At 45.4% G+C, this 27,805-nt stretch overlaps 1 long non-coding RNA gene across 1 annotated transcript; it reads left to right on the top strand.

Moving 5' to 3' along the window:
• The first annotated feature begins 2,641 nt into the window (after positions 1 to 2,641).
• On the top strand, positions 2,642 to 7,542 carry LOC124903148 (uncharacterized). Its single transcript, XR_007063745.1, has 3 exons — positions 2,642 to 4,641; positions 6,138 to 6,340; positions 7,131 to 7,542. It is a non-coding gene; the product is annotated as an uncharacterized LOC124903148 (long non-coding RNA).
• Positions 7,543 to 27,805: the final 20,263 nt, after the last annotated feature.

Genomic DNA, 27,805 nt, shown 5'->3' with positions numbered 1-27,805 from the left:
CAGCGAGACTCTGTCTCAAAAAAAAAAAAAACAAAAAAACAAAAAACAACTTGTTTTCAGGCCAGGAGCGATGGCTCATGCCTGTAATCCCAGCACTTTGGGAGGCCAAGGGGGGGCGAATGACTAGAGGTCAGGAGTTCAAGACCAGTCTGGCCAACATGGTGAAACTCCATCTCTACTAAAAAAAAAAAAAAAAAAAAATTAGCAGGGCATGATGGCAAGTGCCTGTAATCCCAGCTACTGGGAAGGCTGAGGCAGAAGAATCGCTTGAACCCTGGAGGTGCAGGTTGCACTGAGCCGAGATCATGCCACTGCACTCCAGCCTGGGTGACACAGTGAGACTTCACCTCAAAAACAAAAAACAAAAAAAATCTAGTTTTCAATTTAAAAAAAAATAGGAGATACAGTCTGCAAATATTGTCATGCCACTCTGCAGAAGGGAGGGCAGATTTTAAATTGAGTATCTGCTCCCTAAATCTTGGACAGGTAGCTGCTGGCATCCAACCCGGCCCCTTCACGATAACCACCTGCCTCTGGTTCAATAACAATAGCACCAAGTCCCACATGAGAGGAAGGGAGACCCCTCCACTGAAGCAGGGTGGGGGGGTCCCTCAATAATGATCCATTCCAGTGGGTCCTTCCCCTAATCTACATCTTGTTGTCTTCACTGCCTCACCCGGAGCACCCTTCTTTCTCCAACCCTCTCTTGCCTCACCTCTCTCTAGCTTTTTGGTTTAGCAATGTGTGGTGTCCAGTTCATCTACTTCTCTAGCTTCATCTGGCCTTAACTCAATGTGTAACTTATTCCCTCCCTTCTAGCAAGATTTCTGTTGATGATTGTTTCAGAGGGTGGCCTCCCCATCCAACCACTGGGACTCCCTCTTCTTCCCTCTCTGTATCTCTCCCACAGGCTGGCCTGACAGCCTGGGACCTGGCCCAGGGTCGGCAGGCCAACAACTACTGTATGTGCACCAAGAATGTCTCTTTTTCTGACATCTTACTCTTTTATGATCTAAAGATACCAAGTGGGCTCTTCGGGAACCTGGTGAGACATTTCCCAAGTCTGAGCTGAGACCCATTCTTCTCCAGTCAGAACACAGTCCCTATTGTCTGAAGTAAGAACTGGCGGCTACTACTTTCTACATTCCTAACTATGGGCCAGCTTCCCAGTACCATAATCATCATCACCACAACAACTACTACTAGCTTGTAGGGACATCCTATGTGTTTGACACTACTTTTAAAGCACCTTGCAAATATCATCTTTTAAGTTTACACAACCCAGTGAGAAGACACTAACATTATCTCTAGATGAGAAAACTGAGGTTAAAAGAGGTTGTTCTGCTAGTAATTGGTGAGGCATGGATTCCAGTCCTGACAAACTACCAGATGCCCCCAAATCCTGAACTAAATACACAAAGAGAAAAGAAAACTGAATCATGCCTGATTTACCAGAAAATTCTCAGTGTGTACAAAGCACACAAGGAAAGCCAGGTGTCCCTGAGTGGATGCCATCAAATTCTAGTATCTACTAGTCAAAGATATTGGTCACAGTTTATATGTCCTAGGAAACAGTCTTTATTTTTATTGAGGGATGTCAGAGAAATATGCATTTTTAAAAATTTTATTTAAATTAAAAAGATATTCTTGGCTCCCGTTATGCTAACAATTTTGGGGGACTATATATATATATATATATATACACGCACACACACACAGACATAAACCATAAAGGACAGTCATCATAATCACTCCCTTGTATGGCTCTTCCTCTGTATGGCTTCATCAGACTCACTAATGTAGCTGGAGGAAAACACAGTCACATTGATTGTCTTACTTTAAATTCATGATCTTGAAAGTCTAGTGGGCCCTGATGGCTGCCCAACAATGGTATTATACTTCCGTAGTTCATGCACTCTCTTATTCTTCTAGACAATATAGTCTATTTTTGTTATTCACAGTAGCTATCTCCCATAAGGTTGTCAGGAATGCTGAATTAACAAACACTAAACCATCGCTCTTAGGGGAAATACAGAGTCAGGTCTCTGCAAGCTTCTGGCCACAACATTTTCATCAACCAATAAGCATAATCTTATTTTATGTAGGTTTCTGTTTAAGGACACCTTATTTAATATATATTATTGATTCATTAACATTTAATTCACAGACAAAAGCACTAAAACGCACTTCTGAATGGAGCTTCTCTAGCATACGTATTTTCTGCATAAGGCACATCACAGCCTTTGTTGCACTCAGCAATCCTGGGCAGCACTTGAGCACTACACTTGGACAGGGGCATTTTAAACAGCAAAGTCACCAACAAAAAGCACAAAAAATGCTAAAAACGTGACACTAAAGAGACCACAAAGATGACACTTGCTTATAGTATAAGAGCTGAGATGGGAAGGCAGACTGTGGCCTTGTTCAACCTCAGCTGGGAACATGCACCTGGGATGACTGAAAATAATACATAGTTTGTTATACACGTGGAAAAGGACATTGTATCCAGGCCAGAGCGGAGAAACCTTAGAAGTCATGACCTCTGACCCAGAGGTCAGCCTCCCTGCTGCAGACAAACGGCCTCTTAACTGTCACAGAACTTTGGGAAACCTCTTAACTGCCACTGACACAGTGTCCAGCCACATCTCTTGATGAACCTGAAGGAGAAGGAGCTCCACAGGGATGTTTGAAACCAATGATATTCAGATATTTCTGCTGGACTGAGTGTCCCAGAAAGAAACCAGACTGAAGGGGAAAAGTAGAGCAGTTCCAGGAGAAAATCCTTATGAATAAAGAAGTTTATCCAAGGGCACAGCAGAGCAGCAAAGCATGTCGGCCAGGCAGCAGGGTTGGGTGGCTCCCTGGGAGGCTGGGTAGAGCTTGTCTGGCTTCCCCCGCCTCAGTGCAGTATGCTCCAGAAAGGAGAGGGCTGGGGTGTAAAGGAACCGTACCATGTGCACTCCAGTGCCAACAGAGGGGTGATCCAGGGGAGCTGGTGGCAGCCGGGGAGTGGCCTCTGTGAGGGGAATGGAGCAGGAGAATGGAGGAAGGGGGTCTCTTAGGCACATGACGAAGTGGCCATGCCTCCCTCCAGGTGCTTCTGGGAGCAAAGTGATCTAGTAGAAGGGGGCATTCAGATCCCAAAGGAAAACGCACCTAGAAATCCCGAGGAATGCTTTGGAAGGGGGATCATGAGGGGGTAAAATAGAATTTTTGCTGGGAAAAGAAGCAGGAGGAGGGAGAATTACAAGGTCACCGTATATGTGAATTGTGTGTATTTTCTTACAAATGAAACTTGCTGGAAACTAAAAGCTTTGTATAACGCGTGCTGCTATGAGCCTGGAATTTTTCCATGCTATGAAATAGATGGTAAGCCTTAGCCAGAGCTGGGAGGGAAACATCCCAGTTAGGTTTCAATCCTCTTCCTCGTGTCCCATGGAGTAGATTGTCACTGGGAGTCCTCTTCTTGCGGTGGTGTCCTTATTTCTGAGACCTGGACTTTGCCTAGGCGGGTGCTGGAGGAACAGTCTCGGAGTGCAATGTTGTCATTGTTGGATTCATGGGAAGCTCTGCCTCTCTCCACTTGGGCTGGTGAAGTTTGCAGTGGCCACTAAAGACCTCTCAGGCCAGCCCAAGCCTGCTGTGCCTGTTTCTGTGTTCTCTTTGGCAATTGCATTCTCTCTTTTGGACCCAGCTTCTTCCTACATGCTGTGGTCATCAGAGAGGTGTTTTTTAAACTGCAATATTTTCCTGGTTGGATTCATGGGAAGCTCTGCCTCTCTCCACTTGGGCTGGTGAAGTTTGCAGTGGCCACTAATGACCTCTCAGGCCAGCCCAAGCCTGCTGCACCTGTTTCTGTGTTCTCTTTGGCAATTGCATTCTCTCTTTCGGACCCAGCTTCTTCCTACATGCTGTGGTCATCAGAGAGGTGTTTTTTAAACTAATCTCAACAGCTAAATACAAACTCAGAAAGACTCTGTTGGACAAAAAAAAAAAAAAGGGCAGGAAGTGGGGGATGAGGTTTACATTTTAACATAAAAAGCTCCTGCTTGAAATTAGAGGCGAACTTTCCCCTTTTAGTCTAAAATATGTATACCTATCCATTCCTCATACAACGAGTGACAATGAGCGTCTCTCCAGCCTCCCATCCCATACATACTCTTGCCGTAGTCACCAATGACAAATATATTTGGTCAATTTTGTGCCTGTGATTAAAGCAAACCTCTATAGAGCAGGCCCTCAGGCCAACCCCGAGACTCCCCTGACCACCTCTAGTCATTTTGTTTCCTAACCTGCCCCTCCCAGTGTCCTGAGGCCCAACCTGTTGCCAACCATGACCTGGCCGAGTTTCTTGCTGGCCCCCATTTTGTCCTTTTCAGAAGGCCAGCAGAACCCAGCTAACAGAGCTAGTGCTTACAGGGAGAAGGGCCTCAAAGGTGGGGTAGACAGGATGTTGAACTCCAAAGTCGGTTAAAGTTAAGAGGGAAAAGTACCACTGCAATCTACAGAGGCAGGTTCAGAATTTGGAAATTCAGGTTTCCTGGAGAATCCCTCGGGCGGAAGTTCACACCTCTGGCAAAGGCCTCATGACACTATGGAAAGCTCACAGGTTTCGGTTCTTATTCTGCGGTGATCTGTCAGGTGAGTTTGGAGTGGCCACTGACATTCTAACCTCAGTATTTTATCTAGATTTCCAGGAAGTTGCGAGAAAGCTGCAGAGGGTAAACCCTGAGAACTTTGTGGCTCTAATGATTAGAAGTAGGGGCAAAAGAGACCAAGAGGGGGCACTGAGGTGTCAGCCTCAGGCAGTGTTAGCTCTGCACTCTGCTGTATAATACCTGCCAGTTCTGCATGGCCCTTCAAAGCTCCTGACACTGATGTTTCTGTTTCTGTGTCTCCTGACTTCTGTAGCTCATTAGGTCACTTGCTCCGAAGACATTCAGGACCCCCAAAAAGACAGCCCAGTGAAGGGCACTTCTTATCTGTTTTCATTACCATCGTATTTCCTAGCATGTTGAACAGCATTGAATAGAGATCTTCTCAGCTATGAAAAGGACACTGATGTCTAACACCGCAGCAGCCTCATTTTGTCATGTTTTCCTTTCTTTTGATTACTTTAAATTATTTTTAATTTTTTTATAAAAAATGCCTATCTTATAAGTTGTGTGACATTTCCCCACTTAAAAGCTTAGATGAAGCCCCATTGTCAACAAGTTAAATCCTTGGCATGAATTTTTTTGATTTTTTGTGATCTGGTCCAAGCTTTCTAATGTCACCTCCTGTCTCTTCCTCCCTCTCTGTGATGCTAATAATTCAGAGCTTATCAGTGAGGTCTGATGCTCAACAAAACACTCTCATATCTCTGATTTTGCTTATATTGCTGTTTCTTCTGTCTTCTGGAGAACATCTCCTCTGCCTGTAAAACATTCTTCTGCCATAATTTCTTGTAAATCACTTTATTACCCCACCTGCTTCATTTCTCCTTCAAAGGCACCTGGCCTCCCCACACCTCACTGCATACTCCCCCAAATCAACTTCATTTATTGTGGTTGTATACAGCCTTTTATTATTTAACTTTTCATATGTGTCTTATCGTTTCAACTGTTGGAAGTTTTTTAGGGCAAGAGGGATGGTTCTTAGATTACTTTTAGACCTCTCATGTTACCTGACACAGTATTACCCATACAGCTCTATAGTAAATATTCAATTAAAATCTAGTAGGAATAGACACCAGATGCAGTGGCTCACCCCTGTAATCTCAGCACCTTAGGAAGAAGAGGCCAGGGGATCGCTTGAGGCAAGATTAGAGACCAGCCTGGACAACACAGTGAGGCCCCTTCTTTACAAAAAATTTAAAAAGTAGCTGGGTGTGGTGGCACACACCTGTAGTTCCAGCTACTTGGGAGGCTGAAGCAGAAGGATTGTTTGAGCCCAAGAGTCCAAGGCTGCGGTGAGCTAGGATCACACCACTGCACTCCAGCCTGGGAGACAGAGCGAGTTCCCTGTCTTTGTATACTTATATGAATAGAAGGCATACCAATCAACTCCTTTGAAAATATACCCACCTTAAGTTTTCTTTCTAAACCTGCCACATCTATCTCTAACCAGGCACTTTTCCATCTTTTAACTACCTTCAGTGTTCAAAGTCAGTTGACCAACATCAGCTGTGTTGTGCATGACTAACTCTTAGGAAGGAGGTAACTGAAGCCAGTTTTGCAGACATGAACCAACGGCCAGTAGAAGTGTTCTGGACATTGGTGCATGAGTCCGTCCCACTGAGGTGGACTGAAACGCCGTGAAAGGAAAAAAACCAAGTGGCCTAAAGATACACCTTTAGTGAGTGAGTACAACAGTTAGAACCTCTCTAGCCATTCTTATTTTAGGTAGACAAATTGTGTTTATTAAAGTTTAAAAATGGAGTTTTGGAGAAAACAGAATAGGTAGCTCAATACAGCTTTGGTTTTTGTGGATGTCTCTTCGGTGCCAAATTATGTCCTAAAAGTCTGTCTTCTCAAAATAAATCCAAACAAGTTTCCTCTTCAGTGATTTCCCTTAGGAATCAAGAGATTCTACTTAAAGTATGAAGAAAGCTACTGTAGCATTTTAGATCATTCTTACCAATGATTCCTAGGATATATATCATAAATATTTACATAATATAGGTAGTAGTGTACATCAGAACCCAAACACAGTGTATACTGTCAGTGCACCTTGAAACTTAAAAAAAAAAAAAAGCCTTAAAATGAATGCTATAATCTTCGACTGAAGAAAGCCTTCGATCCCAAACTTTTACATTGTCTTGGGGTGACCTTTTCTCATGTTCTCTCTCAGCATTCCTCAGTCTTTCAAAACATGGCTAGAAAACACAAGCCTTCCTAGTTACGGTAAGTTCATCCTACTGAGAAATCCAACTTTTTTCAAAGCGAAAATAAGCCATGAATTCAACCATTCAGCCAGACTTGGAGATTATGAAGATTCCTGGCTCTTGGGCTACTACTTACTTGCCAGAAATATCAAAAGACATCAGGGTTTGTTATCCTTAACATACAACCTATTTGATTCAAAGACACTTTGAGAAGTAGTCATGCACACAATGATCATATCCTAAATCCTATCTATGTTCTGGACAGACGCTGGACAGCATTGCAGCAAGAGCCTATGACAGAGTCTTTTTCCATCCTGAAGTCAGGATCCACTGGATAAAGTTTATCAAGAGGACTTCGTCTTCTTAGTATGTGATTTCCAGAAATGTGGACATTGAAGGAGAGCACATATCCTCTTAACATTTTCAACTGTGATGCTCTTCCAATTGCACCCACAGCTCCCTGTCCCTTGCCACTCCAGTCTATTCTCCACAATGCAGATCAAAGTATCTCTGCAAAATGCAAATCTGATTATGTCTCTTCCCTATTGAAAATGGCTTAAAAGTCCCCCATTGCTCTTAGGATGAAGTCCAAATTCCTTATTTTGGCTTACAAGCCAAAATCCAGCCCTGGATCCAGTCCTGGCTTACCTCTCTAATTGTTTTTTAACTTTACCACCTACCACCTACCACCAGCACACATCTCCTCTGCTTTCCAACTATATCGAAAAGCACTTAATTCCGTTTGCTCTCTTGTCTCTGTCTTCGGCATTTTGTTCCCTCCTCTCCTGCTCCCCACATACTCTTAATGTAGACTTTATTTCATAAACACATATGCTCCTGTTTGCACAAACTCATGTAAGATTACGTGTTTCAGGTGGTATAAAGAATAAGATTTAACTGCTACTATTATACACTACAAATTCTGTAGTGATACTACACACCAGCATGTAACTTGGAAATCTAAATACTGTCAAATTTTTGTCTTGATGACCACCTTCTTCCCCTTCACCAAGTGAGTTGGAATGTTTGATGTTAGAAAATAAATTCTATTTCAAATCAAAGGCAACTCTATTATGGTAGAGTGCTCTGGCCTCCTCTCTGGATGCCTTCCATTGTTCACTAATGAGATAAAATGTGGTTGCCCCATATCTGTCTTTGTTTGTTTTGGCTTGGTCTTGACTATGTAAAAGATCATACAGTAACATTAACAAGATATTTAATTCACTAAAGAGGTCTTTAACTTCCTTATTTGCTAAATTAATAGGAAGATAATATAGGGAAACAACAAAATACAATTCACCAACCCCATTTTTAATAGACTTGACAGTCTCTGTGGGCCCTTGGAAAAAGCATCATGGTACTTTCCGTAGTTACACAGAAAAATCATTTTGCATTTGGATACATTATCTCACTACCTCTAAGCTTAAGCTTTCAGCTACTGAAATGCAGACTCACATATAGTAAGAATCCAAATATTTTGTGGGTTATTGGTTATTGCCAACATATCTGGTAAATGATCTGAATTCCATTTTAAGCTGTCTTAATGCCAAAAAAGTATATCCTTAAATAACTCAACTTTAACCCAGTAGGTTTTTACTAAGAATTTACTGTAGCTTAAGGCTTTTGTTCCTCAAAAAAGCCCTCATTTAGATTGATGTCTCTGAGTAATTATTAGGTGTGCCCAGGATATACTGGAGTGAATGCTCAAACATTGACCTTGATGCCAGGACTCCCCTGGGTGGCTTCCCTGAGCCTCCTGATGCTTTGGGCAGGGTTGGCACCCCTGCCTGGTTCTTGTCCCTCAGAGGCTTACATGGCTGTATGCAGACAGCTGGTGTGTCACCTGTCTCACTGTGCCTTTGTAGAAGTGCTACCTGGATGGGTCATGAGAATGAGGGATTTGCCATATTAAATTCTTAAGATTACTTCCTACAGAATTCCCAAAATCAAAGATTTATACCATCAGGGTCACTATCCAGCCAGAAGTGACCCAGAATCTCCTGTTTCAAGTCACCCAGGAGGTCCTGAAGTTGAATTAAACCAACATGTTTGTGAAGTGACTGCTGGGGATTGTGCACAGGGCAAGGGGCCAGGGTGGTCTTGATAGATTCACAGCCCAGCCCTGCCCTGTCTGGAAAATCTTACTCCAAATGGCAGGACCTCGGCCTTGCGCTCCCAACCCTGCCCTGGCATTCACAGAGGCACTACATTAATACTGAATCATCAAATGAAGTGGGAAGCTTTTCGAACTAAAGGAGCTTGTTATCCTAAAGAACAAAGCCAGCCATTTTTTAAATACTTGAGAACAAAGTCTAAACAAGATGCAACCAAACTTGAGAATTCATACACTCAAGGATAGATTCAATAGTATGTCTGACAAGGATTTCGTTTTCTATCTGAAACATAAGCAATCTACCTAAAGACAAGCTGCCATGCCTCTCTGCAAGCATGCTGCTAGGGGCCAGGGGAAAGACCCTAGAGGTGTTGCGATAAAAAGGTACCTCAGAAGGGTGTATGAACCCTTTAAATTAGTCCTAGATGGCCCTTGCTAAATTGCATCTAGCAACGGGTAGGGGCCACTCTCTGTTGCCTCCCTAACACAAGCAGGTGAAGCTGTGGGACCAGGTCCTCCTCAAACAAGGGAGATAAAGGGAGTCCCAGGAATTGGGGACCCGGCCTAAGAAGGTGACAACTAAGAGGTTGACCTTTTCCTGACCCCCTCACGGTAATGCTAAAAGGAGGGCATAGGTCGGAGAGGAGAATTGGAAGGCCCACTAGAGTCGAAGAGGTCCATCCTCCTCCCCTCAATCCCCAGAATCACCCAGGGCTCCTAAATGGCAATGATGATCTGAATCACCAAAGCCAGGAAAAGGAACCCTGGAACCCATCAGCCCTGCTGCTCCATTTGGGACACTGGCCCTGGACCCAGCAACCCATGTCTTGGGAATAGTCTGCCCTCCAGTGGTTTACATTTGCAGAGGTCAACAGGTGCTTCTTAAGAATTCTGGGGTTTGTGAGCCTGCAATATGGCTATTACAGCCTCTGCCTTTTTCTTGAGTCGCCTTTCCCTCTCTTGGGCCTCCTGATTCCTATTGTACAAGACCAAGGTGGCCACTTTCAGGAGGTACTACCTGATTCTATGGCCTCTTTCTGCAGCTTCCTCCTGATACGAGGGGCTGCCTGATCTAGGACCAGCTGTCCCTCTATTGAATCAGGAGATAGAGGGGTGTGTTTACCAAGACTCCTGTTAGCCTTTCCAGGAAGATACTGGAACTCCCATCCAATCCCTGATCTACCATGGATAGCCCAGTGCAATTGAGAGGCCCAGTCCCAGTCCCTCACAAGCCTTCTAATATACACACCTGAGAGTTTTTCCTTCCATTGTCCCACTTCATCACTGGGGTCCCATTAGGGTCCTCCAATGGTACTGCTATTCTTCCAACTGGATAATGTTCCGCCCCTTCCCTGGCCCTATACAAGATGTAAATAAAACTCATTCCCAACATTCTTTCCCACTTGCTGAGAAGGGCCTACTTTTCAGGGTTTGATTCAAAAAGGAACATGGCCATCCTTCCAGAAGAGTTTAAATACTTGGGTTAAGTTCTAGAAAGCCTCTATATACCTATCAGGGCTGTCTGAAAACCTGCCAAGATCCCCCTTAATTTGCCTTAAGTCCTGAAGAGAAAGGGTGACCTCTGGACCTTAATGGGGCCATATTCACCAGGCCTCTGTTGTAGGGGCAGTTGAGACTGGGACCTGCCTAAAACCAGGATTCCTAGGCTGGGGTAAACTTGAAAGATAACCTGGATAGGGAGGAGCAGAGAAGATTGATTCCCCTGCTGGAGGTAGCTCTGGAGTTTGCTTCCCTACTTCCCTGGGATTGCCCTTGTAACCTCTCCTGAGATGGCCACTAAGAGGGCTGAATCAATCCTACAATGTCAGCAAAGGTCTGGGTTAGGGTTACACTGCAAGGCAAAGAAGGCCTGCACATGGGGGACCTTGGACCATTTGCCCTCGTGTTTACAGAAAAGCTTCCTTCCTGAGGCAATGCTTCTTTTCTGTGCCTCAAGGTGCTTGGCACTAAGTTGGCAACCAAGTAAACTACAAGGACATTTTTACCACGAGTTTACTTACAGACACCAAGGCACACTCCACTTTGTGTTACTCAATCTTCTATTTTATACTTTCAATGACTAAGCTAAATGCTCATTCTAGGCAGTAACATCCCTGGTTTTCAACAAACATCCTTAACATTTAACACTGTATAGAAAAGAGATAGGAACCACAACAGCCACCAAAGAAAGCAAGAAATAAACAACAATAGGAAAGACTGGAGGTCCTAGTGCCGACGGGCAGTTGGGGACTGGAGTTAGTTCAGAGGCCTTTGGATAATACTGAGGTATGGCCTTGGCCAGATACCCTCAGTTGCCCCAGGACCTCCTTCCAGTCCCATGCAATGGGTAGACCTCCAGGAAGGGAAATTGGGTTGGAACAAAGCCAACATTCCCAACACCCAAGGGTGATAGGGGATTGACAACGTCCTCCCCAGCAAGCCTGTCCTCTGTGTCTTAAGTCCTGCAACTGCTCTAGTCACTTTTAACTGGCTGACAGAGGCCCGGTATTTTTCCTTCATTTTGACTATTGTGGAGTTTAGAGACTCCAAAAAACAGGACAGAATCGTTTTTACCCTTCTACAGATCCTGAACAAGCCCCCAAAATGTTCACAGGATCTCTGGGGTGTCAATTTTTCTGGCCGGAAACCTCTGTGGCTGTGGTGTCTTTGCCTGAGTTCTCGTCCTGCTTCCAGGAACACAGACAAGTGAAGGGCAAAGAAGAGGAACTGTTTTACTTAGTGTTAGAACAGCTCAGAGGAGTGGGTAGCTCCTCTCTGTTAGCAGGTTGTCCAGTGTTGGGTTCTCATCAGAGAGGAGGCCCTAGAGAGAATGGCTCATCTCCACAGGCAAGTCATTCAGAGGTCTCTGCAGGTCTCTGAAACTCTAAGCAGACAGAGCAGCTCCCCTCTGCTGGCAAGTCATCTCTGCAGCTGGTGGTCCCATCTCTCTGCCCTCTTCTGCTTCTGGTCATCTTCTGCCCTGCTCTGGCTGAGCTTATGGCTTTTACGGACCTCAGAGGGGAGGAAGTGCATGCCAGTTGATCCATGGGTGGCCATGGAAGAGGCAACATGAGTCCCCGCTCCAGTCAGCAGGACTGGCAGCCAGGCCCCCAACCTTCAGGCTCTCTCTGGCCTGAAGGTGGGGCCTTACTGGGCACCCACCCACTTCTGGCCAGAAATCAATCTGCCTCCTGCTGTCATTCATGGCCCTAGGGCTCTGCCCCAATCACCCTTTCAGATATCTGAGCAGGCGCCCAGAGTAGAGAGGCCAGGCAGTGGGAGCAGACACCCCCGAGCCTGCAGGGATGGTGGGGTTGAGGGGAGTTCCTTCCTGGGGCCCCCGAGGGTGCAGGCTGCAGAGATGCCCAGGTCCTGTGCCTGGGAGGACAGCCACAGCTGCACCCGGGAGCTCCCACCCCGCCAACTTAGAAGAGGCAGGGCTACCACTTGTCCCAGTCTCCTGCCTGCTTCATGGAGTGGGAGGTCCAGGTCTGCATCTGTGGCAGGAAGGCAGATCCCGCCTGTTCCCAAGCTCCCCCAGGAGCACAGGGAGGCACCAATCCACAGCCGCAGTTTGGGCAGCTGTACCTGCTCCGCAGAGCAGGAGGCCTGGGTCTGCACCTGTGGTTTAGGCAGCTGCAGTGGCACAGAGAGCTCCCCTCCAAACTCAGAAGGGGCAGGACCCCCCTACCCCGGCTCTATGGAATATGCAGCTCCAGCTGCACCTCCCTGCTGCAGCCGGAATGATGGTAGCAGTCACTGCCATCAGAGGCATCAGGAGAAAAAGAAGCAACGGAATTTGGTCTCTGAAGGGGTTAGGAAAGACAGATTGTCAGGAAACATAGAAATAAAAAGCGGTTGCACCCCGACTCCCCTGGGTGCCTGTTCCTCTCAGCACACACAGCTATCCCTTAGCCCTGGAGGGAGGCCGTGGCCTGTGGGGCACTGATGCACTTCTGTGTGGGAGGTGGAAATGGGAGGGCAGGTAGGCTCGTCTGTTAGCGCCTCTGCCATCCTCCAGTGCTCAGCATCCTGTGCTACAGGGATTGCTGCTCACTGCCAGAGAAGGCTTTTTCCAAAAGCCAAGCCAGCTCTAGTCTATTTGGACGCTGTGTGAGAGGAGGGGGTCAGGGCAGGCAGGGGAGGGGCAGAGAGGGAAGTAAACGGAGGGGTGGGACCTACAAGAGACTCCTTGGATATCAGTAATGTTGTCCTTTCCTTGAAAATTCACACAAGTGCTGTCTTTACAAGTATTTGCTAAACTGCCTAGATTTATGCATTTTTCTGTATATTTTGTTTTACATTAAAAACTGTTCAAATGAAAACAAAGATAGCACAAGAGCATGAGTTAAGCAAGCCCCTCCTGTGCCTCTTAGTAACTGTAGGACTTTATTTTATAAGAATAAAATCTGTTGAATGTTGCCTGTGTCCCTGTACTAAATGTGCACTATCCAACATTCCTGTGAGTTAGACATATAGTGCCCTTTCTACAGAAGACACTGCCTTTAGCAAGGTGAAGAGGTCTGCCCTGTATCACATAGCCCTTGAGAGGCAGAGCCAGGTTTGGACATCAGGTCCTCTTAGGTCTACCCAGAGCCTGCCCTCCTGCAGCAATGTGGAGCATGCCCTCAAAGGCCTGCTTGTGACTGGCAGGGGCACTCACAAATAAAACCACACTGTCAGGCTATCCCTAGAGATGAGTCCAGAGAAAGGTCCCTTCATGAGATTGGAATTAGGAGATTTGGTCTTGACAGAGAACTTGAAAGTCTGCATTGGCAGTGTACTTGAAAATCTGCATAGGCAAGACATGCCTAATTAAATGTGATGGTTTTTTTCTAAGAGTGTACTTTAGGTTGACGTAATGTTTCTGCCAGGTTGTATAAAGGAAAATGCCTGTTAGGTTTGCTGCTTGAAATACATTATACCTGGAAGAGTTTAAAGTGCTTCAAGTGGTTATTTTTGTTAAGGGGTGTATCAAAATATGGATACATAATTGACTCCCTCTGTGGTTCCTGGTGTGGCCTCTGGCTCTGAGACATATCAGCCAATACCCTGAAGTCTGTGTACAATAGTACCTCTGCCCCTAAGGAGCAGTAATGTGTACAGTCCCTGGATCCTGATGACCCTGAAGAGCCTCGGCTGATGGAACTCAGCTTCTCCCAGTCTGGAAAAATGACTCAGCGCATGGAGACTGAAGACCATCTGAAGCATTTCTCCAATTGCTGTCTTCTCCTGCACAAGCAAGGGTTATAAAACCATGCATGGATTGAGGTTCAGGACGTGGGGGCCTTGAGTGACTATAAATGGCTCTATTTATTGAGCCAAGTCCACAGTTTCTGTGGAAATGTATTTCACTGTGACCCACCTGGTTCCTGAAAGTCCCTGTGCTTATAACCCCAGTACTATAATGGCATCCTCATATTTCCCCCAAAAGAGGGGTGCTTAGGCCTGAATATAAGTGGCAGAGGGAGGGTCAAGGAGACATTCGAGCCACTAACATGTAAATTTTCCTAAAGTATTCAGTTAAATATTGTTAAGATTGTGTTGCTGAACACCAGGGGTTCAGCCTAGGCCCAGTGGCTTGTCACAGAGAATGCCAATCACTGAGACGATGAGTACTGCCAGGGAAGGAAGGCTTTATTGCCGGGGATGTCAGCCAGAGAGACAGGAGGCAAGTCTCAAATCCATCTCCCAGCTCAACTAAAGTTGAGCATACTTTTATTAATGGTTTTAGAACAGCATCTTAAGCCACATTGAACTAGGATGATCAATAATATAGATAACCCAAATTTTAAGATAACGGAGAGTATGGAGGGGATCCCCTGTGGGAATCCAAGAGAACAATCTTATGCCTACCCACAAGTCTTCCTGATTCATCACATCCCAATCAAATGGAGTGCTGTTCAGGTCACCATCAAGGGAAAAGAGGCACTTGCCTTCTTCTAGGAAACAGGGGGACTTCGTAGTCCCTAAAAGGTTTTTCATATAAGGCATGCTCAGTACACTGTTCTTTTAGGGGTCTTCAGATGTTCAAATGTGCAGGTAGGGACATGCAAAAAGCTATGAAGTGGTTGGATTAAGGGGTCGCTATGGTCTAGAGCAGATTGGGGGTTTTGGTTTTGTTTTGTTTTGTTTTGTTCGACCCAGAGTTTTATTGTTGCCCAGGCTGGAGTGCAGTGGCACAATCTTGGCTCACTGCAACCTCGCTTCCTGGGTTCAAGTGATTCTCCTGCTGCAGCCTCCCAAGTAGCCGGAATTACAGGTGCATGCCAGCACAGCTGGCTAATTTTTGTATTTTTAGTAGAGACAGGGTTTCACCACATTGACCAGACTGGTCTCGAACTCCTGACCTCAGGTGATCCACCAGCCTTGGCCTCCCAAAATGCTGGGATTACAGGCATGAGCCCACCACACCCAGCCATATTGGGGTTTTGAGTGACATATATAACAGTGGCAATAATTGGCCAATGAAGCAAGAGTTTGTGAAATATAAATTAATGAGTCATCCATCCAGGAGCAGGAAGGATCTGGAGAACAATAACAACCTGAAAAGCACATGTTTCCTTTATGATTTCTTATGTAGGTTTCTTTGGCTGAGCTTTGAATATTAACTTAAGGCTGTGGGAGGGTTCACGAGACCATGACTATTTTCCCTGGAGGGATCACAGAGGGACTGATTGGTGAATCCATGGCTTAACACTGGCTAACCTGACAGATAAGTTGAGTGGTCAGCAGCACCTCAAAAGGGCTGACCCATTGTGGTTGCAGCTGGTCTTCTGCCTGGCAGGATTTCTAGGTCTTCAGCAAGACTTGGTTCCTGGTTTCAAAGAGTAGAGAGGCATGTCCGTAAGGAAGTGGAGTCTGTTGGAAACAAACTCAGACGGACTAGTCAATATACTTAGTGTATTTCCTAACTGTTTTATATGTGACTTAGCTTCTGTTTCAAGGGAGGAAAAATCCTCAAGTGACAGGGAGTCTCGGAGTCAGGGAAATGGTCTCCCATATAATATTTCAAAGGAGCTAAGAGCCAATCCACTTCTGGCAGGGCTAGCCATATCCTCAGCAGGGCAAGGGGAAAGTTCTTTTCCCAGGGAAGATTTGTCTCTTGGCAAATTTTAGAGGCGTCTTTAATGTCCTATTCATTAGAGTTCTTAGGAGTCCATATCAAGGAATTATTTTCTCTATTAGAGCTTTTACAACTTCAGTAGATTTCTCAGGCCTGGCGGCATAAGCCTCAACCCAGCCTGTGTAAAGATATCAACCAAAACCAACAAATATCAAAAACAATCCAGGGGCCAGGGGCATTATGGTGAAATCTGATTATGAGACTTATCTAGGATTAGTACTTCTCCATTGAGTTCCTTGTTTAAAAGGAGCTTTCGTGCCTTCCAGGAGCTTTGGGTTATTTTTCACGCAGATAGGGCAACTTTGGACTATGGTTTGTATTGTTCATTGCAAGTCAGGCCCAAAAAGATAAGACTGTATCCAGTGTAGAGTAGCCTTGCACCCATAATGAGTGTTTTGATGGATTTTCTCAAGAATCAGTCTAATCAAAGTTTTTGGAAGGGGAATTTTTATTTCTTTAAGCCACTGATGGTTGGCATGTTTAGAAAACCCCCATTCCTCATCTCTCTTAAGATCAGCCTCCAAATATCTTGGGCAATGGGTCTCCAAACAGAGTGGGAACAAGAGCCATCCAGGTAGCGGGTTCCCTGACCGCCTTTTTCGCCTAGCTAGGCTAGCCTTCATATTTCCTTGTGCAACATGAGTGCCTGCCTTCTGGTGTCCTTGACAGTGAACAATTGTTATTTCTCTGGGCATTTTTCTGTTTCTAATAATACAGACATTTGAGGACCATGCTTTATTTGTTATTGAAAATGAGGGAGGCCCCTTTCCTTTGAAATTACCCCATGAAAATGGGCCATTAGAAAAGCATATTTGGGTGAAACATTGAATTGTTTTCCCTTACCCAGATGTAGAACTCTGGCTAAATAAAGCTCAGCCCTTTGGGTGCACGTCCCTTGGGGGAGGGCCTGCACTTCGATTACCTGCTGAGCAGTAACTACAGCATACCTGGCCCCTCTGACTCCTTGTTCCACAAAATTTTTTCCATCAGTGAAGAACTCTTCATCAGGTTCTGTCACTGGCAAGTCTGTGAGGTCCAGTCTGCTAGAGTAAACTTGATCAATTATTTGAATGCAATCATGAACAGGAAGCTGGAGTTTCCCTGGTAGGAGGGTAGAAAGGATTCAGAGTAGAAACAGCCTTAAGAGTTACATTTGGTAGCCAAAAATCATAGGAGAAATGATTAACATTATTAATCAGGGAAATGCAAATTAAAACCACTATGAGATACCCCAGGCAGAATGGCCATTATTAAAAAGTCAAAAAACAAAAGCTACTGATGTGGATGTAGTGAAAAGGGTATGCTTATACACTGCTAGTGGGAATGCAAAGTAGTACAATCTCTATGGAAAACGTGGAGATTTCTCAAAGACCTAAAAGTAGATCTACCATTTGATCCAGTAATCCCACTTCTGGGTATCCACCCAAAGGAAAAAGAGTCATCATACCAAAAAGGCACATATATGTTTATTGCAGCACAATTCACAATTGCAAAGATATGGAATCAACCTACGTTCCCATTAACCAATGAGTGGATAAAGAAAATGTAGCACATACATACCATAGAATGCTACTCAACCAAAAGAAAGAATGAAATAGCATCTTTTGCAGCAACTTGGATAGAACCAGATTCCATTATCCTAAGTGAAATAACTCAGGAATGAAAAACAAAAACCGCATGTTCTCACTTGTAAGTGGGAGGTACGCTATGGGTACACAAAGGCAGAGTGGTATAATGGACACTGGAGACTCAGAAGGGGGGATGGTGAGAAAGGAAGTGAGGAATAAAAAATTGCCTATTGGGTAAAATGTACACTATTCAGGTGACAGGTACACTAAAAGCCCAGACTTCACTGCTGTATAATTCATCCATGTAACCAAAAACCACTTGTACTCCTAAAGCTATTGAAATAAAAAAAAAAAGTTACATTTGAGTTATGGTAGCTTGTTCCAGCATCAATCAGAAAATTGACCAATTTATCACTCAATCTAATGGCTATCCTAGGCTCCTGGCAGGTAACATTAAGAAAGGTGGAAAAAGCCTTAGAGTCCCAACATTTCAGGTCATCTCCATTGAATCCAGCCATTTGCAAGGCTGGGTCTTGGCCCCTTTCTATTCAACTTAGGACAATCTTTGTTCTAGTGTCTCTCTTTTCTGCAATCAGCACACTAGTTTTTCCTAAGGTGTGTGTGGGCGGTGGCTTTTGCCCTTTTTGAGGAGGCCATTCCAGACCCTCAGCTAAGTCTGTGGCTGAGAACTTAGCCTGCAGTTTCATCTCCTGCAATTTTTGTTTCTCCTTTTGTTGTTCCTAGTCTGCTCTAGACTCAGAAAGACCTTGTATGCCACATCAACCAAGTGAGATATTGGCAATGTTAGGGTGCCCTCTGATTTTTGCAATTTCTGTTGAATGTCAGGCATACTCTGCCCTATAAAAGTCATATTAATTAACCTGGAATTCTCAAGACTGCAGCTACATCTGTATATTTCCAATAAGCCTCCAAAATCCTTTCCCAAAATGCTAATGAGTTCTCCTCCACTTCTTGTCTAATTTCTTGAATCTTGTTTATGCTTTTGGTTTTTAGGGACACCCTTCCTGAGCCCCATCAAAATACAATGCCAAAACTGTTGGATTTTATCTTCCTCCCTGTCATTCAGATTCCACTTGGGGTTATAAAGGGGGCATTGCCAGATTGGTGCTGGCCCTTACCTTGTTATTAGGATCTTCTGTGTGTGACTGGTCAGCCCCCTCCTGAGCCTTTTCTAGCATTAGACAATGGTTTTTGGATGCCAATAAAATGCTAAGGAGACTCTGAACATCAGCCCAGGTGAGATAACGATAGACTCAAAAAGTTCAGTTGTATGTTTCGGGTCATCCCTATAAGCCGGTGTATTAGTGCGTTCTTACATTACTATAAAGAAATACTTGAGACTGGGCAATTTATTTAAAAAGAGGTTTAACTGGCTCACAGCTCTGTAGGCTGTATAGGAAGCACGGCGCCATCTGCTCCTAGGGATGCCTTGGGAAACTTATAATCATGGAGGAAGGTAAAGTGGGAGCAGTCAGTTTACATGATGAAAGCAGGAGCAAGTGGGCGGGGTCGGGGGGGTGGCACTACACACTTGTGAACAACCAGGTCTCACAAAAAGTCACTATCATGAGAACAACACCAAGGAGATGGTGCTAAGCCATTCGTGATGAGGATGATGACAATAGTACTTACCTCATAGAGTTGTTGTGAGGGTCAAGTGGGTTAATTAGTGTAGTACCTTTAAAAGGTGTCTGGCATAGCACATGCACTCAGTGAATGTTAGCTAGCAGCAGTGGTGGGAGGCCTAGGAGCAGGAGCAGGAAGAGGAAGAGTAGCCATCCTCTTCAGAGATCCCAGCCTGGTGCTCAGGGAAAGCCAACTATGCCCTTGGCTGAAGTTCTTCTCTCTGTTCTGTGTTCTATTTGCTTTCAGTGGTTTTCAGTGTTATCATCACGTTTTTAAATCCATAAGCAACTGCAGGGACTTCTTGAGAGAAATAGTTATGAGCTCTCTGGGGTCATGGGATAATATAACTCCTTATCTCTTCCTCATAGAAGCACTTGAGTTCCCTATTTGCCTTCCCCATGTGAACAGAGCAAACATCAGGCTGGAAGAGGAAAACCTAGCCTCTGGATTCCACTTGATTTCATTTCCATTATGTTCCCTTCCACCCAGATCCACGCCAGAGGTTTTTCATTACTAAATAGAAAATGAAAAGAGAGAAAAACAAACTCAGCTTTTTCACTGGATCCTAAAATGTTTTCTTCAGAGGCAGGGCAGGCTACACCATTCCAGTTCAGTGGCATCACTAACCATTGGAGGTCAAAAGCGGAAAAGACATTTCTCCCAAGATATCAATGTACAAGTTTTTCAAGTAAAGTGGAGGAACTCAAAGCATAGCCTCCTCATTTAACATGTTGGTGTAGACATCCGGAAGCAGCAAAGGACAGGGTGCTGGGCAACGCTGACCTGCTCTGGCTTCTAGGCACTGTCTGAACCTTCCCTCCTCTCAGGCCGTCAGGCTGGGGCACCAGCAGTAAAACTCAGTAAGACTCAAAGCACTTGGCAAAGAGAGATGATGATAACAGAGAGCAGAGGGAAAAGATTATCTTCTTGCATTTTGAGTTTCAAAAGCCTACTACTTTATGGGAACAGAAAAGCCTCTGGCTCAAAAGATTTGAGAGGAAACCTGGTGGGTTGGAGCCCAACACCCTACTCCCCCAGCTGCCCCCAGGGATAACAGAAGATGCTTCCTGGAGGAACTGAGAGGAAGAGGTATGAGGGATGGTTCATGGGTCTCTGGAAGAGACCCCACTCTCCATGTCATGCCCTGCAAGGTCTGTGGGGACCCCAAGAAGAAGAGACCTGGGTCTGTGATTTATTTTCCAGGGAAACCCATAGAGAAGCAGCTAGACTCAAAAAATATATAGGTGGTTAAAGGGGGTAACAAAAGACGGGGTCTTAGATGGCCGCCAAAAACTTCTATACAGCTCAGACTAGCTTGAAAATCAGAAGTTGCCTCCTATGTGCCAGAGACATGGTATATCAATGGAACTGAAAGGGAGGGGGCAAGAGAGTGGGACCCAGGGGCATCCCTGCAGCACCCTATATAGTCCAGCAACTGTGGGCCCAATGCAACAACGGACACCACAGTGGATGCTGTACAGACAAGTGACAGAGAATCAGTGGGCTCCCTGAAGCCATGGGATATTATAACCCCTTCTCTCTTTCTCATAGAAGCACTTGAGTAACCTATTTGCCTTCCCCAGGTAGACAGAACAAACATCAGGCCAGAAGAGGAAAACCTGGCCTCCGGAAGCCACTGGATCTCACTTTCCATTTTCCTCCTGAGCCTTTTCTAACCCTTGTATTAGTCTGTTTTCACGCTGCTGATAAAGACATACCTGAGACTGGGTAATTTATAAAGAAAAAGAGGTTTAATGGACTCACAGTTCCAAGGGGCTGGGGAAGCCTCACAATCATGGCAGAAGGCAAAAGGCACGTCTTACATGGTAGCAGGCAAGAGAGAGCACGTGCAGGGGACCTCCCCTTTATAAAACCATCACATCTCCTGACACTTATTCACTATCCCAAGGACAGCATGGGAAACCCCCACACCATGATTCAATTACCTCTCACCAGGTCTCTCCCACAACACATGGAGATTATTACAATTCAAGATGAGATTTGGGTGGGGAAACAGAACCAAACCATATCATTCTGCCCCAGCCCCTCCCAAATCTCATGTCCTTGCATTTCAAAACCAATCATCCCTTCCAACAGTCTCCCAAAGTCTTAACTCATTTCAGCATTAACTCAAAAGTCCACAGCCCAAAGTCTCATCTGGGACAAGGCAAGTCCCTTCTACCTATGAGCCTGTAAAATCAAAACCAAGTTAGTTACTTCCTAGATACAATGGCCATACAGGCATTGGGTAGATACACCTGTTCCAAATGGAAGAAATTGGCCAAAATGAAAGGGTGCTACAGGACCCATGCAAGTCCAAAATCCAGCAGGGCAATCAAAGCTCCAACATAATCTCCTTTGACTCCATGTCTCATATCCAGGTCACACTGATGCAAGAGGTGGGCTCTCATGGCCTTGGGCAGCTCTGCCCCTGTGGCTTTGCAAGGTACAGCCCCCTTCCCAGCAGCTTTCATGGGCTGGCATTGAATGTGGCTTTTCTAGGTGTGCCATGCAAGTTGTTGGTGGATCTACCATTCTGGGGTCTGGAGGACAGTGGTTCCCTTCTCACAGCTCCTCTAGGTAGTGCCCTAGTGGGGTCTCTGTGTGGAGGTTCCAACCCAACATTTCCCTTCCACACTCTCCTAGCGGAGGTTCTCCATGAGGGCCCCACCCCTACAGCAGACTTCTGCTTGGACATCGAGGCATTTCCATACATCTTCTAAAATCTAGGCAAAGGTTCCCAAACCTCAATTCTTGACTTCTGTGCACCCATAGGCCCAATACCATGGGTAAGCCACTGAGACTTGGGGCAGCAGCCTGAGCTGTATGTTGGCCCCTTTAGCCATGGCTGGAGTAGCTGGGACACAGGGCACCAAGTCTCTAGGCTGCACCCAGCAGAGGGGCCTTGGCCCAGGATACCATTTTTGCCTCCTAGGCCTCTAGGCCTGTGATGAGAGGGGCTGCTGTGAAGGTCTCTGACATGCCCCGAAGACATTTTCCCCATTGTCTTGGTGATTAGCATTTGGCTTCCCATTACTTATGCAAATTTCTGCAGCCAGCTTGAAAATGCATTTTTCTTTTCTTTTGCATTGTCAGCCTGCAAATTTTTCAAACTTTCATACTCTTCTTCCTCTTAAATGCTCTGCTGCTTAGAAATTTCTTTCAGCAGATACCGTAAATCATCTCTCTCAATTTCAAAGTTCCACAAATCTCAGGGCAGGGGCAAAATGCCACCATTCTCTTTGCATAACAAAAGTGACTTTTCTCCAGTTCCCAACAAGTTCCTCATCACCATTTGAGACCACCTCAGCCTGGATTTCATTGTCTATATTACCATCCGCATTTTGGTGAAAGCCATTCAACAAGTCTCTAGGAAGTTCCAAACTTTCCCACATTTTTCTGTCTTCTTCTGAGCCCTCCAAACTGTTCCAATCTCTGCGTGTTACCCAGTTCCAAATTCGTTTTCACATTTTCAGGTATCTTTACAGCAGTGCCTCACTCTACTGGTACCAATTTACTATATTAGTCCATTTTAATGCTGCTGATAAAGACACACCTGAGACTGGACCCTAGCCAAGGCCCTGGGCTAATAAGAGAATGAGACTCCCTAATTTGTCTGAGATTCATTTCCCATCACCCTATTAGACTGACAGCTTGAAAAACAAATTGAGGTTTATATTTGACAGAGATATTTCTGCAATCTGTGTCCTGAAATACAGATGCATCCTACAAGTATGCATAATATTGTACAAACCATTGAGCCTGGGTTATCACAACTGAAGACATCTCTTCAAATGGCAGATTAGTAAACTTATGAAAAATAAGTAAAATTTGTTGTGGGTTGATTATTTGGAGGGTTTATTCCATGTTTGGCAGGACACTACCCACACTGTTGCCATAGGTAAGGGTAGGCTAAAGAGGAACCTTACAACCCATAACCCCCATGGGAACCCTGTTCCCATGCAGTGTAGAGAAAGTTGACTAATGTTCCCAGATTCCCAAGGAGACTTTAGAATTCTGAGAGCAAAAGTGGCCCAGAAATGGCCTCAGACTTGGAAGAGAAAGTTACAGAGGACAATGGCAGGGACTTTCGTCAGCAGGGGAGGGGAGTATCATATCCTGGTGGATTCCCAGTATTAGACACCTGATGCTCAGGCCCCCGGCCACATTGTAGAAGATACTATCGGGACAGAGAGTGATACCCATAGACTGAGCAGGATGAAGCCCCGCAAAGAGTGCCCACTGGAAAGCAGCTATCCCTTTTCCAATGCTGGAAAATACATCCTCCCCAACCTGTTGCACTCATATCACCACCAGGAAGAAAGGCAGGTGAAAATAAAGAGGAAAGAAACTGTGAAAAACAGCATTTATCCTACAATGATAAGCTTTGAACTTGACAGTGATTGAGAAAATAACATTTGAGTGTGGCTGAAAAAAAATCCCTGGATTAGATTGGAAATGCCAGAATGGGAAAGATTGAATTATATTTTTTCTCAAGAGCAAAGTTGAGTTCAGTATTTGAAAATAATGTCACGTTTGCTTAAGCTCCTGTTCAGGATGGTCTAATATAGACCTGTAATACTGGGCAAGAGAAGTACAAGAAGAGTAGTATCATGGGAGTGTTCTAGGGGAAAGAGCAGAAAGCAGCAGGTTACTATGAGCAGGGGAGTCCATATTACACAGAGATGTAATCCTAAAGAGGGGTTTTTACAGGGGGGCAACACGGCATTTAGGCTAGAACTTCACATTAGGTTTATTAAATTAACAAATAGAAAATACTATTCTTAAAGTAGGTTAACATGAAAAAACCGTAGTTATTACAAAATCTGGTTAAATTGCAATAGATATAATTATCTCATTTTTCCGTCAAAAAACTGGGTAAGACCCAGAAAAATAAAACATCTTACCTAGGTGAAATGGGAAAAGTTACCTTGTCTCCCTTGCAGGGTGCACGATGCGGGTGTGGTTCACTTCTTCAGTGCCCCACTGCTCAAATCTCTAGGGGAGCATACAGATGGGCAGGCTGTGGAGCCATTTTTGTCTCCTTAGGAGCTGGACAGCACTCAGTGCTAACCTTATTTTGGTTTCTGGACCTTCATAAACTTCTGGTCCCTTTTCATCCCACCGCATTGGTCATTCGGAGTATAGGCGAGCATTTTGTGCTTCAGTCACACATGGACTCCAAATGCGTTAATCACACTCTCCTCAGAAGGGCCCACGCGAGGAAGCTGGGGCGCACAGGAAAAAAGCAGCGAGAGTCTGGCTGAAGTCAACCCCGCTCCCGTCCCAGGAGCTCAGTGCCCAGCGAAAGGGTCGATGGAGGAGCTTCTCTGCTCCCCTCGTGCCTCTGACGGTCTGCTGGCTGCTAAGCTGTTGGGGAGCCACTCTGCCGCCGAGACCCAGGGCAACGCTATCAGTGGCGATGAGGCATGGCCTGGGAACAGAGTGGCCAGCTCGCGCAGCCCTGGCGCACCCCCTCACACCCAGGAAGAGTCGAGGGCGCCGCCTGGCTGTGCACCTTTGGCGCTGCTCCACTGCCTGGATTCCCTTTACCCTGGGGCCCCAGCACCCCGAGACCAACGCAGACATGCCCTGCAATCGCTCCGACTTTAGCCAGCACATGACTCCGTTAGCGGTCCCTGGGGAGTTGTGGGTCCCCTGCATATTTAACCCTCTGCGCAGACCACCCCTTAGGGAGGGGCAGCGCAGCCCGGCAAAATCCCCATTGGTACCAAGGAAATGCAGACCCCCACTGGGACAAAGGAAAGGCAGACGCGACGCCAATTGCTGAAAGAGGCACCACCACAGCCCCGGAGGTGGAGATGGGGTCATCTCTCACCGCAGACCCCCTTACCAGTGCAAAGCAGTCATTCTTCCCGTGGGGGCCTGCTGAGCATGCACTGATTAAGGATTCCACCAACTGAGGTTGGGTTACAGGAGCAGACTGCTCTCCTGCAGCTGACAGTTTATAAATGCAGACTTTCTGGGCCAAAAGGAAAAGGAACTATTTCTTCTGCAGGCTTAGCCACAAGTAAAATTATGGTCAGAAGAGGGTCTTGCAATGTCTGATCTCTCATCTTTTGTCAACAAAATAGGAATACCCAGCTCCCAGAACATCCGCTTTGCCAACAGTCATGCTCAGTAAGTCTTTTATGAGTGAATTAAAGGAATGAATGAAACAAATGAAAAAGTGAGCAAGCAGCACCAAGCTCTCAGGGCCTGTGGGCTAGTGGTAGAGACATAATAGAATACAAAGCAATAGCATAATGTCCCACAGGGACTCTGCACTACTTTTAATCCTTTTTCTGCATCATCTTTTCTCCATGCCGCTTACATCCCCACTTCATTCATTCAACAAGTATTTACTGGGCAGCACCAGTACACACACCAGCAGTGAACAGCTTACATTCTGATAGAAAGGGGCTGAAAACACAGGTTTTATGGCTGCAGATAATTTTAAAGAAAATGAATGTTATTAAGGCCATAGCATAGGGTGATGTGACAGTGATGGAGATTGGGGGACAACTTCAGATAAGACCGTCATGGAAGGCTTCACTGATGAAGCAATATGACAGCTTCACTGATGATGGCTTCACTGATGAAGCTGTCTGCTGACTACTCAAATGGAAATGCGCCTTTCTGCAGATGGTATCATCAAGAAGAATGACTTTCAGACTGGAAAATCCCAGCAGAGGTAGTAAAGAGGACATTCAACTATGGAAGTAATAAAAGAGTCTCTAGCAGCTAATGATTTTAAATCCTGCTCAGAATAGCTAAAAGCATGAAGGAATTTAGAGACATAATCCTGGAAATTGAGTAATCTTTTTGGAATTATGGAGGATAAAAGGGGAGCTAAACACAAACATGCTGATTATTCACCACAAGGGAGGAAAATGAAGATTTGGGTCCAGGTTGCTGAGTTTAATGTGAATTCTCAGCAAAATGCAAGATTTTCAAAAAGCTGGTTCACATGTCCTCAAGGATCTTCTTGTCTGCTCAGCAGATTGTCCACCTGACCCTGAGCTGTGAGTGTTCAGAGCATAGAATGTCTTTGTCCAAACCTGAGTTCTTACACCCCCCACTCATCTGTCCTTCATTTTCATTTAATGTACTCACATTCATTCACTTATTCATTCATTTCAGAAATACTTAGTGAACACTAAATGGTAGTCAGGATGCTACATGCTAGGGATACAAAAAAGAAGTATAAAATGCAGCAGTGTTGCCTGCAGCAACTTCAAGAATTAGGCAGTAGGAATTCCACCCCAGGACTGCCGCTCAGCTGGCTATGTGCATATGGACAAATTCCTTAGCTTCTCCGCAGGCGGCTGCTTCCTCATCTGTCAAATAGGGATGACGGCACAGACTTGACACCAAAGTATGTATGAAAGGAAGGAAGGACAGAGAGAAGATGGGAAGAGGGAAGGAGCTAGGAGGTGAGGAGGGCCACAGGGAGGAAGAATTGGCACTTACCTCATTTGTGAGGACTGGCTGAAATAGAAACACCTCACACAGCGCCTGGCACATGGTAATATTTATAAATACTGCCCCTCACTTCAAAGAGCTCACCATCAAGTGAGGAGCTAGGAACACAGTTCAGATAATGGCTAGCATTTATTGCGTGCTTATCATGTGCCAGTTACTGTTCTAAACTGTACACATTTGGGCTCACTTCACACTCAGCACTTGGTGAGTTTGGGTCTCTTACTATTATCCTGACTCCATAAATGAGAACTGCAGGCATAGGAGGGTAAAGTAACTTGCCCGAGGTCACATAAGGAGTGAGTGGGCAGCAGAGCTGTGATTCAAGCCCAGACATTTTGGCTCCAATCACTGCACCCCGCTGCCTCCCACAAGTATAAGCAAGTGTGAATACTGCCATGGGCACATGCTATTATGGGGGACTTGCAGCCCAGTAAGGAAGTGGTGTGGCCAAGGAATTCTCCTGGGGTAGGGGGACTTCTGCATTTGAGAATTTCAGTATGCCCATGAGGAGGGAGTCAGAGGAAGAGGGGGCAAAGGGCAGCAGAAAGAAGACAAGAGGAGCACAGAACTGGAAGGCACAGAGGAGCAGACCCATGTTGAAGCAGGGACGGGTGATGAAGGTCATGCTGGTCATGCAGCCACATACACCATGTGAGGGGCTTGGACTTTATCCTCTAAGCAATGAGAGTCACAGGAAGCAGCGTGATCAGAATTGCACTTTAGAAAGATTACTCTGGGGGCTGAATGGTTGTGGATAAAAGAGGGTCATGGACTAGGGAGAGCCAGTTGGAGGGTTGCTGCCAGGGTGCCTCCAGGATCGTGGCCAAAGGTATGGACTGGTTCATGACATATTTAGAAGATATAATTAGAAGAAGGCAGTTCTTATCAAATGAAAAGGCTGAACAAGAAAGAGGGGATGAGGACATTTCCCATCCCTTTGGAAACTGGAAGGATGGTGATAGCAGCTCCTGGACTATGGAAATGTAGGAAGAAACACTGAT

Source organism: Homo sapiens, chromosome 13 (assembly GCF_000001405.40).
Source record: "Homo sapiens chromosome 13, GRCh38.p14 Primary Assembly".
NCBI lineage: Eukaryota > Metazoa > Chordata > Mammalia > Primates > Hominidae > Homo > Homo sapiens.
Note: the sequence above shows the minus strand (reverse complement) of the source record. Positions and strands in the feature narration are given on the sequence as shown.